At 48.4% G+C, this 19,005-nt stretch overlaps 1 long non-coding RNA gene across 1 annotated transcript in view; it reads left to right on the top strand.

Moving 5' to 3' along the window:
* CPMER (cytoplasmic mesoderm regulator) overlaps window positions 1-19,005 on the top strand; it is a 39,211-nt gene that overhangs the window by 17,162 nt on the left and 3,044 nt on the right. Inside the window, exons 3-4 of the long non-coding RNA NR_186699.1 lie at window positions 108-218; window positions 7,924-8,089. This is a non-coding gene — a long non-coding RNA (cytoplasmic mesoderm regulator). The remainder of the gene's footprint in view (window positions 1-107; window positions 219-7,923; window positions 8,090-19,005) is intronic.

Below are 19,005 nucleotides of genomic sequence, written 5' to 3'. Positions count from 1 at the left end.
GCCTTGCTCATTCCCTCCTCCCCACAATGCTAGGAGGTTGGCATGATAATCCCATTATCCAGTTGACGAAACTGAGTCTCCGAAGCTTACGTTACGTAACTCCACAGGACCGTCTGGTACCAGGAACTGGCCAAATGTGAAGGTGTAAAACACAAAGTTCACACCCTGAAGAACCTTCTAGTCCAGTCGGGGAGATGGACCCAGAATGTCAGATTAAGGTGAGAGACAGACTCAGGACCAGAGGCGCTTCCTGGAGGAAGGGATATTTTAGCTGGGTATTGCGCATGAATTTACCCAGCACAGAAAGAGGAAACAGCATGTGCACAGGTGCAGAGGCTGAAAAGGGACTGCTGGCTGGTCTGATGGGGCTGGAATAAAGAGGGGAAGTTGGGATATGGAAGGATGTGAGTCAGACAAAGTCAGTGGGTACAAGTCCATGAAAAGCCCTGGAGGACAGGCCAAGGAGTTTGGCTGAGAGGAGAAATCTGATGGAAAAGGCTGCCTGCTATAGCTACACCATTGACTCGTTTGTCAATAAGATGCTTCCAGAATGAGTGCACCAGTCTTCACTATTTATGACAGCTCCAACTCTTCCCCAGCTCTGTGGGCAGATCTTCTGACTCTTGGTGAGAAGGTGGCCTGGTAGCAACTCACATGCCTGAGTCTGGGGGTGCAGATGGAGGAAGAACAGGAATCCCCAAGATTCCCGAGTCAGTGGACATCAACAGATGGCTAGAAACCCTTCCCTGGGAGGCTGCTAATTTTTTTTTTCTTTGAGACAGATTCTTGCTGTCTCCCAGGCTGGAGTGCAGTGGTGCAATCTCGGCTCACTGCAAGCTCCACCTCCCGGGTTCACGCCATTCTCCTGCCTCAGCCTCCCGAGTAGCTGGGACTACAGGCATCCGCCCCCATGCCCGGCTAATTTTTTGTATTTTTAGTAGAGACGGGGTTTCACCATGTTAGCCAGGATGGTCTCGATCTCCTGACCTCGTGATCTGCCTACCTCGGCCTCCCAAAGTGCTGGGATTACAGGGGCGAGCTACTGCGCCTGGCCTGGCCTTTTTTTTTTTTTTTTTAAACAGAGTCTTCTACTGTCACCCAGGCTGGAGTATAGTGGCACAATCACAGCTCACTGCAGGCTCAAACTCCTGAACTCAAGAGGTCCTCCCATCTCAGCCTCCTGAGTAGCTAGGACTATTAGATACACACCACCACACCTGGCTATTTTTTATTTTTATAGAGATAGGGTCTTGCAATGTTGCTCAGGCCAGTCTTGAAGTCGTAGCTTCAAGTGATCCTCCTGCCTCAGCCTGTAAATTTTGATCACCCACTCCTTGTGGCCAACTGAACTTCATACCAGCATGGCATGTACAGAGCAGGTTTGGTTAATAGCAAGGATCACCTCATGAAATAATCTGGAAAGAAGGGAAGTGCAACGCCAAACTGGCCCAAAGAAAGATGATGCATTTACTAGAATGCACGAACTCTCCTTGGGAGTATAAAAGAGAACCAGGACAGGGCAGAACAGGGTGCTTCCACCCAGACAGTGACCAAGGGCTCAGTGTGATGGCTGCGGATCCTTTGCTACACCTTGTTGTGGTTCTTGCTACTATCTCTAAGTTGTTTAACTTTGTTTTTGAGTGATTTAATCCCTTTCAGAGGGCGGCCAAGGATTCTAGTTTTTGAGACTGAGCCAGGAACATTCAAAGGTTGCAAGCAGCTGCCTGTAGAAAGGGGAGGCATGGTTATTAGGGGGAAAAGGCCAGATGCCCATGGATGCCAGACAAGGATACACCCGTTTTGGGCACCTTGGAGGGGCACAAATTGGGGGAGGCTACTATTGTGCTAGAAATTTTCTCTGGGTGTCCTGTTTTCTGTCTCTCTCTCTTTCTTTCCCTCCCTCCCTCCCTTCCTCTCTTTCCTTCCTTCCTTTCCTTCCTTCCTTCTTTCCCTCCCTCCCATTTCTTTTTTTCCTTCCTTCCTTCCTTCCTTCCTTTCTTTCTTTCTTTCTTTCTTTCTTTCTTTCTTTCTTTCTTTCTTTCTTTCTTTCTTTCTTTCTATCTTTCTTTCTTTCTTTCTTTTTCTTTCTTTCTTTCTTTTTCTCTCTCTCTTCCTTCCTTCCTTCCTTCCTTCTTTCCTTTCTTCTTTTCTTTTCTTCTCTCCCTCCCTTCCCCTCTCTCTTCCCTTCCCTTCCTTCTCTCTCCCCTTCCCTTCCCTCTCTCTCCCCTTCCCTCTCCCTCTCCCTCTCCCTTCCCTTCCCTTTCTTTCTTGACAGGGTCTCACTCCATCACCCAGGCTGGAATGCAGTGGCTCAATCAACACACCACAGCCTCGGCCTCCCTGGGCTCAGGTAATTATCTCACCGTAGCCTCTCGAGTAGCTGGGACTACAGGCACGCACCAACACACCTGGCTAATTTTTGTATTTTTTGTAGAGGCGGGGTTTCACCTTGTTGCCCAGGCTGGTGTTGAACTTCTCCTGGGTTCAGGTGATCCACCTGTCTCAGCCTCCAAAAGCCTGTTGTCTTTAGAATCAAGCCCAACCTTGTCAGCAATCTGCCAGACTCTGAGGGACTGCCCTGCCCGCCTCTTTCTCCTCTTCCTGTTTCCCTCCTGTCCACTCTGCTATGCCCTGTCTTCCTCTTCCTCACAAATGAAGGGTCCCTGTCTATTTTGTTTTTTGCCCAACCCTGGAGGCCTAGGACAGTGCCTGGCACACAGTAAGTGCTCATTAGATGGGTGCAGATTGGATGAGTGACCTCTTGCAGGTGAACACATCTCATTGAATCATGACAGCTGCCCTGTGGGAAGGCTGAGACAGGCCAGTTCCTGCCAAGGAGGGACAGCCGGGAGGGGCATTTGGAACCTGTCTATTGGTCTCTTCCACCTTGGCTCATGGGACTTCTCTGAAGCTACATGATGGACTAAGTCTTGGGCCTTCTGCCCCAAATCCAGAACCTGGGGTCCCTGTCTCCATCTCTTTATTCAGAAATTTGCTTCCCAGTAGGATCTTGTGGCCAGGATGGAGAGAGTTCTTTCCAGGTATTTTGCAGTATTGATGGGTGATAAGACGAGGGTACCCAGTGCTGACTTGGCACCCTAGGATCTAGGAGTGGGTTGTTGGTGGGGGGGTGTTGTCCCTTGTCCAGCCATCCCAGCTCCTTTGCGTTCCCTCCCCATCTCTTCTTTTCTCCTTCTACAGAAGTCTAGGAATCCTCTTGGCACTTGACCTTGGGCCTCTGAGATCCCAGCTATGACCAGGTATGGTGAGGGCATGGGGTGAGCCTCCAAGCTTCTCAGGCTTAGAGCCAAGGAGGAAAAAGCTGTACATGTCAGCAAGCATTGGCCACCTACTGTATACCAGGCGTCGGGGCATGGAGAGAAACAGACAGGATTCCTGCTCCAGATGCAACACTCTGAAGTGTCAGAGACACCCAAAAACACCCGAAGTGTCAATGGAGATGAAAAGGGGAACTCAGGTTGGGCAGTCCTAGAAGGAGAAAAGAAAAGACCCCAGAGAGATCCTGCTTGGGGCAAATCTTGAAAGATAAACCATTGTTTTAGAGATAGATAAAAGGAATTCCAGGCAGAACGCATGGCCGAGACAAAGGCATGAAGGTGGAAAACCACCTGATTCCACTAAGAGGCTTCCCTTAGAGTGTCAGATGAACCAGTGGCAGGGTCAGGCTCTTTCTTTTTTAATTTAATTTTATTTTTTTGAGGTGGAGTCTTGCTCTTGTCACCCACGCTGGAGTGCAATGGCATGATCTCAGCTCACTGCAACCTCTGCCTCCTGGGTTCAAGCAATTCTCCTGCCTCAGCTTCCCGAGTAGCTGGGATTACAGGTGTGCACCACCACACCTAGCTAATTCTTGTATTTTTAGTAGAGACAGGGTTTCACCATGTTGGCCAGGCTGGTCTCGAACTCCTGACCTCAGGCGATCCACCCACCTCGCCTCTCAAAGTGCTGGGATTACAGGTGTGAGCCACCGCACCCAGCAAGTCAGGCTCTTTCTAGGGGCACTTCAGGAAGACTATCTGCAGAGATCAAGAAGCCTGATCTCTACCTGCGGGTGCTGGTTGCTGGGGGGCACATTTAATCCACTTAGGGAAACAAACTCTTCACCAGTATTCTGGTGCCTCCTTTCTCTGCATGCAAATGGATGCCACTAATGGCAGTAGAAATCTGGGCTCCATTAAAGCAGCACCCACTCCCACCACTAATTTGGAAGCCCCTTTGGCAGTATGAGTGCCTGTGCATCTTCCAGAAGATGTTCTGTTTTCTTTAAAGAGCTGAATTATTCAGTCAGCAACTCAACAAATATTTATCCAGTGTGTTCAGCATGCCAGGCCCTGTGCCAGGACCTGGAGACACCATCCTGTCCTCGAGGGGCTGCCGTACCCGTTGGGGAGATGCAGAGGTACAGCTGTGCTGGGTGCAGTGTAGAATAAAACCCTTTCTGAAGGGTCTTGGTTTGGGTTGCTCAGAGGTGAGGACTCAAAGGCAAGTGGTTTGTTTGAGAAATGATTCCAGGAAGTGCTTGAAGGGGGATGGGGCAGTGAGACAGGGAGAGGGAGGCAGCTAATACAGGGAGTGTGGGTCGAGCCAGTTACCATGATGGGCAGCTGGAGTTCAAGCCTGTAGGACTTCAGGGAGACCATGTAGAATATACTCCTCAGAGGTGTGTGCCCTGTGAGGAGAGGGAGCTGAGGTATTGATACACTATCTTCCCAGAGCCATTAGTTCTTAGCACTTCCAGTGTGCCTTTTGCAGTTCCAGAAACGCAATCCTGGCCGGGCACGGTGGCTCACGCCTGTAATCCCAGCACTTTGGGAGGCCGAGGCAGGAGGATCGCCTGAGGTCAGGAGTTTGAGACCAGCCTGGCCAACACGGCAAAACCCCATCTCTACTAAAAATACAAAAATTAGCCGGGTGTGGTGGTACATGCCTGTAATCCCAGCTACTTAGGAGGCTGAGGCAGGAGAATCACTTGAACCCAGGAGGCAGAGGTTGCAGTGAGCTGAGATCATGCAACTGCACTCCAGCCTGGGCGACAGAGCAAGTCTCCGTCTCAAAAAACAAAAAACAAAACAAAACACGAAAACAGAAATGCAATCCTGGAGCTGGTGTTTGGACTTCCTGGATAATACAGAGATGGTCAGGTATGAGGAACACAGGTCGGGTACTGTATTAGTTTCCTGTGGCTGTTGCAAGAAATTTTCACCGATTTAGTGTCTTTAAACAACATACATTTACCATCTTACAATTCTGGAGGTCAGAAGTGCTAAAATCGAGGTGTTAGCAGGGCTGTGTTCCATCCAGAGGCTCTAGGGGGAGGAAAATCCATTTCCTTGCCTTTTCTAGCTTTTACAGGCCACTCACATTCCTAGCTTGTGACACTTTCCTCCATGTTAAAAATCAGCATTGTAGCATCTTCCAGTCTCTCTGTTTCTGTCATTACATCACCTTCTCTGACTCTAATCCTCCTGCCTTCCTCTTACAAGGACTCTTGTGATGACATTGGCCCACCAAGATAATCCAGGATAACCGCTGCCCTCCCACCCCCAATCTGAAGGTCATTAATTTAATCACATTTGCAAAGTTCCTATTGCCAGGTAAAGTAACATATTCACAGGTTCTGAGGATTAGGATATGGATGTCTCTGGGAGGCCATTATTCTGTCTACCACAGAGATCTTCAGCATCTGCTTTAGGTGGGTGCAGAGAGCCTGTCCAAGGGCAAGGACATCACTATTAAATGTGAAAGACGAAAAAGAGTTTCTCTGTGCAAGAAAAGTGACCAGACAGAGGATGTGTCTTCTCCGTGCAGACTTGGTGGCCTGAGCTGGTGTATGTGAGGCCTGATGAGAGGCCAGTGTAAATGGAGCAGAGTGAGGGCATGGGCACAGAGGGCAGGGAAGTGGAGGGTGATGACCTGAGACCCATCAGTGAGACTGCATCCCCCAGCACTTGTTGGCTGTGGAAGGATCTCAGAGTTTTTACTATTTTGAGATGGAGTCTCGCTCTGTCACCCAGGCCAGAGTGCAGTGGTGTGATCTTGGCTCACTGCAACCTCTGCCTCCTGGGTTCAAGGAGACCATGCCCAGCTAATTTTTGTATTTTTAGTAGAGATGGGGTTTCACGACGTTGGCCAGGCTTGCCTTGAACTCCTGACCTCAGGGGATCCAACTACCTTGGCCTCCCAAAGTGCTGGGATTACAGGCGTGAGCCACCATGCCTGGCCAGTCTCAGAGTTTATTCTGAGTGAAAGGGAACCTGTCACAGCATTCCAAGCAGGGCAGTAATCTGATTTGTATTTTGGGGCTCTCACTCTGGCTGCTGCCTGGAGGATGGGTTAGTGGGGTGAGCATGAGAGGCAGGATGACCATGTCCTGAGCCTGGCATGAGATGTGTTCGGGACAGAAGAGGGGGCTGGGGATGGACAAATGTAATGAGACTTGAAGAATACTGAAGAGGTAGAAGCAATGAGATTGTCGATAGATTGGTGCCCAAAGAGGAATTAAAATTGGAACTTCCTTCTGTCGGAGGAAATTGAGTGGCACCAACCTCAATCATGGATTTTAGACAAAGTGGCAGATTACTATACATGAATGCATGCTTGGCAAATGGGAAGGACCCCAGCTCTTTCCTGTGAAGCATCACCAGACTCATTGGCCACAGCCCGTAGTTGGTGTACGGTGAGGTAGGAGGGTGATCTTGGAGGTAGGGGCTGAGGCTTGTAGCCAATTTTTCTCCTTTCCTCTCTCCCTCCTTCCTTCCATTCTTTCTTTTCAGTTCAAATATTTTTTATTTTACACTTGTTCTTAGCCAAAAGGCCGATAAGTGATTCTCTGATTTTAAAACTGAAAGAAGAAAGCATTATAATCTCATTACTCTAAGAAACTTCAAACTGCCTTAGATGTGTATTAAGTAAAAAGCCAGACTTGCTTTACTTCATTCCTGCATTACCACTTTCCAAAGACAACCACTGCTAACAGTTCCTCATGTGACCTTACAGGCATTTTCATGGTGTTTGCTTTCTCATGGGTTTTATAATTTGGGATTGCAAGCTTATCTTATGGCATTATCTGTGGGAATCTTGAATGTCATGGTTGAGGGTGTCTGGTGGAGCATTTGTTTCTGCCTTGCTTGCCATAATATCATCACCCCTGGTCTGGCTTTTACGTTTTTCTCAGTTTGGGCGTTCCCATCTGTGCATGTAGTTCAAATTTAAACACCAAATTCCCATGATCACAGGTCCATAGTTATACAGTCTTAGGGGAGTTTGTTTTTTTCCTGAGCCCAAGCCAAGACAGACAAAATTCCTTGTTGCTGTCCTTTGCTGCCATACAATTTTTCCCTTACTTCATTATTTATTTGAGAATATTGCCTTTTGGGGACCCTGATTTTAGGTAGCAGTCTCAGTTCCAGCACTCCACCTTTGGAGGGCTCCAGGCTTTGCCTCCTGTCCCCATATGGCTGTTAAAACTCTATCCCCTCAATTCCCAGAAGTCTCTTATATGCCTTGCACCTCCAAATCTCCCCCATTTCAAAGAAATGGAACTCTCCTGTCAATCATTCTCCTTGTGTGTTGGGGAAGCAGTGTCATTTAATGGTTAGTGGTGGCTTTCAGACTTCCTGAGTTTGAATCCCAGGCTTACCACTCACTAAAGAAGTGACCCTGGGCACTCATTACTAAATTTTTCTGAGCCTCAGTTTCCTCATCTATAAATTGGGAATGACAATATTTTCTACCTCATAGGAGTCTTACAAGGGCTAAATAAGGCAATGAATTTGACTACCTAAAATAGTGTGTATTAATCCCTCAATAAATGTTGACAATTGTAATAAAACTATGTCCTTATGTTTTTACACAAATGGGTTCACAGGAGGCTCACTGTTCTGCACCACCCTTTTTCTGTAGATTGGCCTGCATCAGCCCAAATGGTTCCATGTTCTTCTTTTTAATGGCTGCATAGTACTCCTTTGCATGGATGCACCACAGTTCATTTAACCAGAGTCCTGTTGGCAGGCATTTCAGATGTTTGCAATTTTTCTGTGAGACCAACACCACTGTGATCAGCATCCTGGTAAGTCCATCTTCATCATTCACTCATTCCATTTTGCCTCCAGATCAAGTCCACGGAGTGAGATTGCTGGATGAAAATGAAGCCTTGTTTAGAGACCATTTCCCTCCATCTTCATTTCTTTAGTCCCTTTCCTGAATGACACCCAGGGGATGTGGTGGCTGGAGGGAAATGCACAGCAAAGGATTCAAAAGTGGTGTGCATGAACATCTCCCCCCATTTTCTGTTTTTTTTTTTTTTTTTTCCTAGAGTGAAAGATACCTTGATTAGACAGTAATTAAGAGTGTTTTGGACAGCACAAGGCACTAATAGCCTCCCAGGTGCTTAATAAGTGTCAAGACTGCCAAGAGAAAAATTTATTTAGCATTATAACAGACTCTATGGATGCCAAATTTGCCTTCAGCCATGGCGCTGTAACACTGGGGAATGGGAACAGGGTCAGAGCTTTAGTGCCCATTGGAAAGGGCAACCAAGGCAGCAATGTGGGTAGGTCAAGAGCACTAGATGGGACCCAGACAAATCTGGGTTCTAAGCCAATCACTGCCACTTACTAGTTCCAGGAGCATGGCCAAGTTATGGACCTTCTCTGAGCTTCATTGTCATCACTTATAGATCAAGGCTTGAAATATCTAACCTATCAGGTTCTGGGAGGCCATGGGTGCAGTCATTAAGAATGTGAACTCTGTTTGGGAGGACAAGGCAGGTGGATCACTTGAGGCCAGGAGTTTGAGATCAGCCTGGCCAACATGGTGAAACCCCATCTCAACTAAAAATATAAAAATTAGCCAGGCATGGTGGCGCACACCCATAGTCCCAGCTATTCGGGAGGCTGAGGCAGGAGAATCACTTGAACTCGGGAGGTAGAGGTTGCAGTGAGCCAAGATCACACCACTGCACTCCAGCCTGGGTGACAGAGTGAGATTCTGTCTCAAAAAAAAAAAAAAAAACAGTAAACTCTGGGTTCTGGTCCAGCCACTTCTACTCATTAGCTGAGGACCCTGGGCAGGATTCCAAATGTTTTTGAGTGTTAGTTTTCTCATCTGTAATGTGGCTATAATAATAATCCTATAAGCCCACCTTATAGAATTGTGGTTAAGACAAGAAAATGTATGCAAAAGACTTAGCCCAGTGCTTGGCCCAAATTAAATGCTCAAAAGATCAGTACCTCACATTGGTGTTAGAAATTTGCTGAGTGTTAAATGAGATAATGCATATACAACTGAAAAAAAGGTATAATGTATATGTGATAGTTAAGGAAGGCAATGCCAGCTGCTGTAACAGATGCAATTGTCACTTCAGTGGTTTAACACAGTATAAGTTTATTTCTCACTAATGTTACAACCCACTGCTGGCATTTCTGGTTGGGCAATCTGCCTCCATGCGGTGACTCAGGCACTCAGGCTCCTTCTATCTTGTGGCTCTACCATTTTCAACACTTACTTTGAACTCTGTTCCATTCAGCAGGCAGGTGGGGAAAGAGAGACCGAGGAGACATACCTGCTTGTTAATCATTTCAGCCCTGAAGTGATGCACATCACTTTTTCTCACAGTCTTTTGGTCAGAGTTAGTCACATGGCCCTACCTAGATGCAAAGGAACCTGGGAAATGTAGTCCATGCATGATCAACTGCTGCCCAAGAAAAACTCTGGAAGGAAAGCAAGAATCCGTGGTGGTCACCTCTACTTAGTCCAGCACCCTCATTTCCAAGGGGTGACCTGGAAATGACTCAAGAGTTGGGTAGTGACCCAAGAGTGGGTTGGAGCTGGGGGTGTGTACAGGGTATGTCTCCTTTCCTTGAGCCAGGGGCGATGTTGGTGCTGGAGGCTGCATCATTCCCTAGACCAAGTTAGTCCAACCTGGTGCCTGCAGGTCGCGTGCAGCCCAGGATGGCTTTGAATGAGGCCCAACACAAATTTGTAAACTTTCTTAAAATATTATGAGTTTTTTTTTGCAAATTTTTTTTTTTAGCTCATCAGCCATCATTAGTGTTAGTGTATTTTATGTGTGGCTCGAGACAATTTTTTTCTTTTAATGTGGCCCAGGGAGCCAAAAAATGGGACGGCCCTGCCCTAGACAGAGGGTAACGACAATGATTCCCGTTGGAGCACTGGACACAGAGCAATGATTCCCGTTGGAGTGCCGGACACAGAGCAATGATTCCCGTTGGAGCACTGGACACAGAGCACTCCGTCCCTGTGATCACATCTAACCCCTAAATAGCCCCAACAGGGCATTTTCATTATTACCATCACTCATGTCATGCACAGGTGAGGAAACTGAGGCACAGCATGGCTCCATGCCTTGCCTAAGTTCTCACAGCAAGGCAGGAGCAGACCCAGGCCTTGAACTCAGATCTCAAGGTGAACACGGTCCTCTTGGAGGCCAGGGTCACACCAGAGGGTCCCACATGCAGGGACGGGGTAAAGGATTCTCCACTTGCCCCAGCAAATTTTCAGACACCAAGGCCTGTGGGACAAGGCCTGGCTGCTGTGAGGCTGAATAAGCAAACCAGTGGAAGAACAAAGAAGAATGGTTCTTTCTGGAACCTCTAGTTTGTTCTTTGAGCACATTAAATATGCCCCTGTAACCTTGCTGACTCTCTTCATTGGCTCTGTAAACCCTCAGTGGCTGTCGCGGGCATTTTTTGTACACACTGTATTTAACACAGAGCCAGATGCACCAAAGGGCTCAGCATATATTTGTTGAATAAAAGAAAGAAAGCCTCAAGGGAAAATTTATCTAAATTACAACGATTTTTCCATTTGTGCGTGCAGTTGTGGACTGTGGAGGTTGACAGAGCTCCTATGAAGTACTAGGCCCAACTTGGAGTCTTCTCATAGCCCTGGGAGGCAGGTCCCACTGATATCTCTGGTTAATAGACAGGGAAACGGAGGCACTCCCCTGTGGCTCTGCATTGGTCGAGCCGGCCTGATTCTTTGTCCCTCCCACTGTCTGCTGCCTGGCACTGCCTCTGAGTCACAAGAGGCTGAAAGTGACCTCTGGGCGTCTATAATTAGGCCCTGCCTGACGTCAGGGCAGACGGATTTTCTGGCTTGGCCAACGTCGGCCTATCGTTCACTGCGTGCCAGGCACTGAGTTAAGTCCATTACATGCATTCCCTGACACTTGCAGCAACCCCACTAGGCCCCCATTCTCCAAGGAGAAAACTGAGGCCCAGGAGGGTCATGCCCTGGCCTGAGGTTACTCAGCTGGGAGGAGGTTGAGGCTGGATTTGAGCATAGACCTCTGCAGCTCCGGTAGCCACCAGGCTCTGTCAGTGATCAGTGGTAGCTGTATATTTCTAGATCAAGGGAAGGTTTCAACTGAGCCAGCAGGACAGAGGTGTGCTGAGGCTTGGTGGGCACTGGCCATTCTCACCTCTGACCACTGGCTTCCTAGCTTACTCTGCTCCTTTTTCCTCTTTCTCTAATTTTTTCCCACCTCCTGGCCTTTGCACATGGCTTTGCCTTTGCCTTTGCCTGAAATGCCCTTCACCCATATCCTCCTGTGTCCAGCTCCTTCTTATCTATCAGGTTTCTGTGTAATTGTCACCTCCTCCAGGAAGTCTTCCCTGACCACACCTGCTTCCAGTCTGTTGAGTTATTTTCTTCTTTGAACTGATCTCCAGGTGAAATGATCTCTACCTGTTTATTGCTTGTTTCTTCAACTAGATGTGAACTACATGAGGGCAGACTGTGTCTCTCTTGTTCCTTATGTCTCCAGCCTCGGGGACTCAGCTTAGCACAAAGTAGTTGTCCTAAAAATAGTCGTTAAGTGAGTGACTAACTGAAGGTGAGGGCTTCCCGGGGCAAGAAGCCACCAGGTTGGATGAACAGGTGAACATCTATGGGGACAGAGCCTCAGGTTGCCTGTATGCCCCAGAGCGGGATCTCCGCCAGATGTAGGGGGTCAAGGAGTAGGATCCCGCCTCTTGGAGAGGGAGTCTGGGCTCTGTGCAACAGGGCACTGAGGACAGCCAGTCCAGGTCTGGGACAGTGTGGCCTCTCTTTTTGACATGGGGACATCAGACACTGGTGGCTCCTGGGTCAGAGCCAGTTCTGGATTGTGGCCTGGGTGTCCTGATAAGCCAACAGCCTTTGTCAGGCCGAGCTCCAGGGACCTGCCTGGTGGAGCAGGAAGGACTTGAAGGTGGGGTTGCCGGAAGGTGAGAGACAGGTGTGACCTGGGGTAGGGAAAGAGGGATGTTTGTCATGACTTGGCCTGGCTGCCTTCTTTCCCAAGGCCTGGCGTCTCCATCACGCAAGCTTGTTGAAGGAATGAATGAAGGTATCATCCTAGACAGACCCCAAACAAACAGGAGATGCTCAATCTGGTTCAGCGTGCTTCCTAAGAGTTAATGCTTCTTATTCTTATAACAACCCACGAGTTGGGTCCTATCATTATCCCCATTTTTACAGAGGAGAAAACTGAGGCACAGAGAAATGAAGAGATTTCCCCAAATTCACACAGCTGGGGCTGGGATTTGAACCTGGCCTTCTGGCTCCACAGCGTGATGCCTTTAACTGTCCACTGTACTGCTTGTTTTGGGCTAAAAGCCAAGACTAAAAGGCAGTGGTGTGTACACTTTTGAAACGGAGCCGAAGCTTTCCATGAGTGAATTCTTATTGCTCAGAAACCCTACGTGCAAAATACAGGCCATGGGAGCCTCCCTGACTGAAGTGGGAATTAGGGTTGCGAGACCGCCACACTCATTCATTCCCACATACCCCATCCCCGTCGTGTACCCTCTTCCCACGGGTTCTGCCTCCTACTTTTCTCAAGAATTTTCACATTCCTAAAAGCAGGAAACAGACAGAGTTGACCTTTCCATTGCTGTTGTTGCTAAACTCTTTCTCGGCCCCTAGAACTCTTATAAAGGATACCAATCTGGGGAAGGGGTTTATGAATGAGAGCCCCCTGCCCAGCATCCTCCCTCTTTGGAGGCCTCTGAAACCCCATTAGGGTCCCATGGGGTAAGGATGCGCTCAGGGATCCTGCAGGATTCGAACTTTCCAGGCATTGTATCTCCCTAAGACAATCTAAGATTTCTAAAGATATTTTTTCTTTTCATGGAGACATAATTTATATACAGTAATATATATATACACAATTTATATACAGCACAAATATTACATGTTACACCCATGAAACCATCACTGAAATCAAGATATGAAGCATTTTCAGAACACTGGCTCTACAGAAAAAGTGTGCTGAGCCCTGTTCTGAGGCAGCCCTATTCTCTAGAACTTTCTATGACAGTGGAGCTGTTCTGGGCCTGCGGTGTCCAATGAGGGAGCCATGAGCCACACACGGCCATGGAGTATTTGAAACTTGGCTCATTTGACTGAGGAATTTTATTTATTAGTATTATTTTTTGAGACAGAGTCTCACTCTGTCACCCAGGCTGGAGTGCAGCGGCGCAATCTCAGCTCACTGCAACCTCCACCTCCCAGGTTCTAAGTGATTCTCCTGCTTCAGCCTTTGGAGTAGCTGGGATTACAGGCATGCACCATCACGCCCGGCTAATTTTGTATTTTTAGTAGAGGTGGGGTTTCACGATGTTGGCCAAGCTGGTCTCGAACTCCTGACTTCAGGTGATCCACCCGCCTCAGCCTCCCAAAGTACTAAGATTACAGGCGTGAGCCACTGTGCCCGGCCTATTTTATTATTTTTATTCTTTTTATTTTTGAGACAGGGTCTTGCTCTGTCATCCAGGCTAGAGTGCAGTGGTACAATCATGGCTCACTGCAGCCTCAATCTCCTGGGCTCAGGCGATCCTCCCACCTCTGCCTCCTGAGGAGCTGAGACTATAGGCACAAATCAGCATGCCTGGCTAATTTTTAAAAATCTTTTTAATTAAAAAAAAAATTTGGCTGGGCATGGTGGCTCACGGCTGTAATCCCAGCACTTTGGGAGGCCAAAGCGGGTGGATCACCTGAGGTCAGGAGTTCGAGATCAGCCTGACCAACATGGAGAAACCTCATCTCTACTAAAAATACAAAATTAGCCAGGTGTGGTGGCACATGCCTGTAATCCCAGCTACCTGGGAGGCTGAGGCAGGAGAATCGTCTGAACCTGGGAGGCAGGGGTTTCAGTGAGCCAAGATTGCGCCATTGCATTCCAGCCTGGGCAACAAGAGCAAAACTCCGTCTCAAAAAAAAAAATTTTTTTTTCTTTTTGTAGAGATGGGGTCTCAATGTGTTGCCCAGGCTGGTCTCGAACTATTGAGCTCAAGCCCTGCTCCCACCTTGGCCTCCCAAAGTGCTGGGATTACCGGCATAAGCCACTGCACCTGGCCAAAGCACTGAATTTTAAATCTTATCGAATGTTAATTCATTTACAATGAAATAACCTCACTGGCCCCAGTTCTAAAGGATTCTAACATAAGGACAAAAGATGCTGACATCCACACATCTTGAGAGAGCCCAGCATTCCAGGAAGTGTCACAAGTGTGTCCCTCAGGTTGGGTCTCCCAGTAGCAGCCCCTTCCTGGGCCCCATCTCAGGCCGGCAGCTTTGGGGTTAATGAAGAAGCAGCCTGGGCCTCCTGGTATTTTCTTCAAAGATGTTGTTCCTATTGATATATTTTTGGATGATGCTTTAGCATTAAAAAAAGAGAGAGAAAGAAAAAAAAATCAATGCTCGGCTGATTGTACCAGGAAGGGCAGTCGATTGGCGAAAAAGTTGCAGCGCGTATTGGGAAATAGATTTTTCTGCCCTCCAGACATTAGCTTGAAATTCTTTGAAATGAGGGACCACAATCTGTGTCAGAAATGAAAGATTAAGGAGGTTAATATGCTGGGCCTCCCCTCCTCCTTTTTAATTTCCACGTCCTGGGTGCCCTTGGCCTCCCGAGGAGGACGCAATGGGCTGTGCTGCACTCCATCTAATGTCCCCTCCCCCCATTTCTAGGGGGCTTCTGGAGGGTCAGATGCCCCCGTCACCTGCTCCTGGGGCTGGATGCAGACTGGAGGGAGCGGCAGGCTGACCTTCGTTCCTGGGGGTGGACTTGGGGTCTTGTGATCTGGTGGCCTTCTCCCTGGGGAAGATTTTCCAGGGGCTGGTGGCCGGGTCCTGGTCCCACTCATTAACCTGTGGGATCCCCGGGCTCCAGGCAGCTCCAGTGCAAGCCCCAAGGAGGCGCTGTGCCGAGGACACTGCAACTCCTCCGCCTCACCCAGTTTCATGCATTACAGATTTGCATGCATGCTATGAAATTCAAATGTGTGGAAATCGAGCATTGGTCCCCTGTGTTATAAAGAGGTGAGCATTTAATCCCTGGAGGGCTAAACTAGATGATCAAGTCTCCGAGTAAACTGTTTAGGCACGGTCGTTGATGGTCTATTTCCAGAATTTGGCACATGTCCATTTCGTTAGCTCTTTTCCTTCCCAGTTGAACATTTATCGGGGTGACTTTTCATCCAATAAGCAGCTGATTAAGGTGAAAGATTTGCCACTTCTGGCCTGTTCTGGGCAGTTTCCTTCTTGGTCTCCAACATACCAGGTTTATGAGACCAGTCCTTCTTCCTCTGGGGATAAACGCTTCCGGGTGTCGGGTCTTCATTCATTTTGGTAACACTTGTATGAAACCAAGGACAAGATAATATTCAAACAATTGCACAGAACGTTCTGCAGAGCATCAGCAAATGTAGAGAGAGGCTCGAGGGAGCCTGGTTTAGGGATGTGGGCCCCTTGGGAGGAGCTGGGGTCCCCACCAGCTGAGCTAACCCCATGGGATGTGCACAGGACAGCACCAAGGAAAAGACTTAGCTTTCGGTGTGTTCAGGGAGACACAAATCAGAGACCACTGGACACTTCCTCACCAGGGCCCTGGACTGGATATCTTCATCTTGGATCAAGATTCAGGAAGCATGGAGCCCCACCCTCACTTTCTACCCCACAACCTGCAGCCCCTGCATCTCCCAGGGTTGAGTCCTCCCCCATTCCAGCCTAGCTACGGCCACACAGCAGGAAAGGACCAGGCCATGGGTACTGGCGTGGGCTGAGATCCCCAGCTTCAGGCTGGTTCTGGGCACATACCAGGGAGAAATGTTTGTCCAGGAGAACGTATCTGCTGGAGGGGCACCCCAGATTAGATCCAAGGTATGTGTGTGAAGGATCAGGAAGGGCAAGACAAAGAGTGTCTTTCTGACCCTTCCCCTACGCAGGCCAGGTCAAGCCCCCAGGTGCTCTCCCTAGAGCTCCAGCACCTTCTTCTAAAGCAGCACACACCACGTGCAGTTTTTCTCCTGTTAGAGCCATTCCTAGGTAATGTTGGTCTTCCTCCAGAGCAGGAGCTCTGTGAGGGCAAGGTTGATGTCTTTTATCACTCCCCACTCTGTCTTTCTTGTTCATTGCTGCGTTTCCAGGACCTAGTGAAGGGCAGGGATGGGCAAAAATGTTAGGTGGATGAATGAATGCATGGAGTCACTGTGAAGGTGGAAAAGCTCATGTTAGCAAACACTTATTGAGTATTGAGTGCTTACTGTGTGCCAGGCACTGCTCTTAGCACTCCCACGTACTAACCACCACTGGAGAAAGAAGTAGCACAAGGAAGGGACTTAATACATGCTTCCGGATGCCTATGGAGCTAAATTCCACTGGAGGCCCTTCAGGGACCCCAGGGCTGCCCCCAATTTTCCCAAGTCTGCTGTATCCCAGGTAGAACCCAGTATGAAGTCATCCTGAGCAAATGGATTCAATTCCCCCTTGCTCTGCAGGAGTGAGAACTGTTCCACACAGGTGTCTCTCAGGAAAGCCCAGATCTCTCGGGCTGCTTTTATCTGGGGCCAGCAGGCCCTGGCAGCTCTTTCTGTCTGTCCCTGGGGCTGCACATTTCCAGCCCTGAGCCCTTGCCTTCAGTTATTCCGACAGTGGAGATGAAACAGGGCAGGCAGCAATTGGCATCGGATTTCCAGGACCAGCAGGACTTGGAATTTTACGAGATCTTGAGTTGGAAGGTATGTGAGAGATCATTCCATTTGTTCATTCGTCCATTCCCTCTGGGGCAGAGACGGATTCTTCACTACAATCGCTTTCTTCTTGGCACACAAGGAGGCCTCATTTCCCAGTCTCCTTTGCTCTTAGCTGTGGCTGTGTGATTGAGTTCTGGCCCATGGAGGCAGACGTGACATAAGCCACATGTAGGCCTGGCCCATAAACCACCCCCCACTCCCACAATCCTCCACTTTCTCTCTTTGTCCAACTGCAGTTGGAAGGAGGAGACTCTGACATCCTAGAGGATGGAAGAGCCACAAAATGGAAGTAGCCTGGGCCCTGGGATGGATGCCCACTGATGGGAAACACTCCGTGGCCTTCAGAGGCAGAGAACAAAATGATTGTGTTAAGCCACTGAGAACTTAGGGCTTACCTGTTAGAGCATCGAATGTTACCCCAGCGAATACAGCTCATTGAGCAAGTACTTATTGAGCATCTACTATGTGCCAGGCAGTGGGCTAAGCTCTGAGATAGTAGTGAACGGGTGGAAAAAGTTCCTACCCTGTGGGGAGCTTCCATTGTAGTTGGAGAGATGGAATAAACAAATAGGATCATTTCATGTGGTGGTAAGTGCAGCAAAGAAAAAGAAAGCAGGGTCATGACAGAGAGAGGGATGGGGTGGGAAAGGAGTTTTTAAATCAAGTCATCAGGGAAGCTTTCCTTGCAAAGGGAATATAATATCTGCCGTGAGATTTGAAGATTGAAAAGAAGCTGGCTGTACCTAGATCTGCAGGAAGAGGATTCCAGGCATGCGGAACAGCATTAGCAAGGCCCTGAGGAGGGAACAGGGTGGCTGGAGAGAATGGAGGAGTGAGTGGAAATGGGTTTGGAATGGGAGGTGGGAATCACACTTGCAAGACAATGGAGATTATACAAAGGGGTTTGGATGTTAGCCAAGAGTATTTTAAGTGTTTTGAGACCTGTGCATTGTGCTAAGCATTGAAGAAGATCAAATGAGTAGCAAAAAGAGACACTGCCCAATTCTCTTAGAGGTCAGATTCCAGGTGACTGACTACCCATCTGTTACTTGAATCCTCACTCAAGTGTCTCTGCCAAGCTGTCTTTGCTTGTCTGCCTCCAGTGACAGGGGGCTCACCACCTAGTGAAGCAGCCCCTTGCATCTCTGCATGGTTCTGTTGGCTCAAAGTCCTTCCTTAAATTGCCTCCCGGGGCCTCCACTCCGTGGCTCTGGGATTAAATAAGTCACCCCTTTCTGTCTCATGGAATCAGGGCAGCTACTGTTTTGCCCAGTCATCAGGGATAGCAAGGAGGATAAGACAAAGCCCTTGCCAGAGCTCCTAATAGCTCATGTCTTTCAGGAGAGGTCTTTCAGGCAGAGAGATGCTTTGATACATTGACCGATGTCTCCCCGCCCCCATCCTTCCTCCGTTCAGGCAGCCACAGGGTGTTCTGTATTTTCTGCCTCAGGGATAGATGTTACAACAAGAGGAGGATAAGAGAGTCAAGTATGTGGTTTTTGGATTTCAAAAGCTTATTTTAAGTCACTAGAGTCTGGCTTTTGAGCCTTAAAAGTATGAGTTTTGAAGGATCCAGGGTACAACATTTAGAAAATAACAGACAACGTGGAAGACTGTGATGAGTCAAAGATGGGTATTGGCATCTCAGCAGAGAGGGCAGCTCCTGGGTGGGGGACAGAGGGAGGGTCTGGAGATGAGATAGTCCCCACAGAGAGCAGGGGGAACCTCACCTCATATGCTGGAGGGGTAGACTCATAGAGAAGCAAATTTTCTTTTGTGAGGATGCAAAGTTTAGCTAGGGTGAAAGCAATGGCTAATATCTCACAAATATCCTAGTCCATGAAGCTGGGCATTGGTTCTGACCTCCTGGTATCTTGCTGCTAAGTGCTCAGCATTTCTTCATTCAGTCCAGGGCCTACTGGAGAGACCTTCTCTTCTGCTGGGT

Source organism: Homo sapiens, chromosome 22 (genome assembly GCF_000001405.40).
Source record: "Homo sapiens chromosome 22, GRCh38.p14 Primary Assembly".
In the NCBI taxonomy this organism is placed as follows: Eukaryota; Metazoa; Chordata; class Mammalia; order Primates; family Hominidae; genus Homo; species Homo sapiens.
The sequence above is the reverse complement of the archived record's forward strand: the minus strand, read 5'-3'. Positions and strand labels throughout refer to the sequence as shown.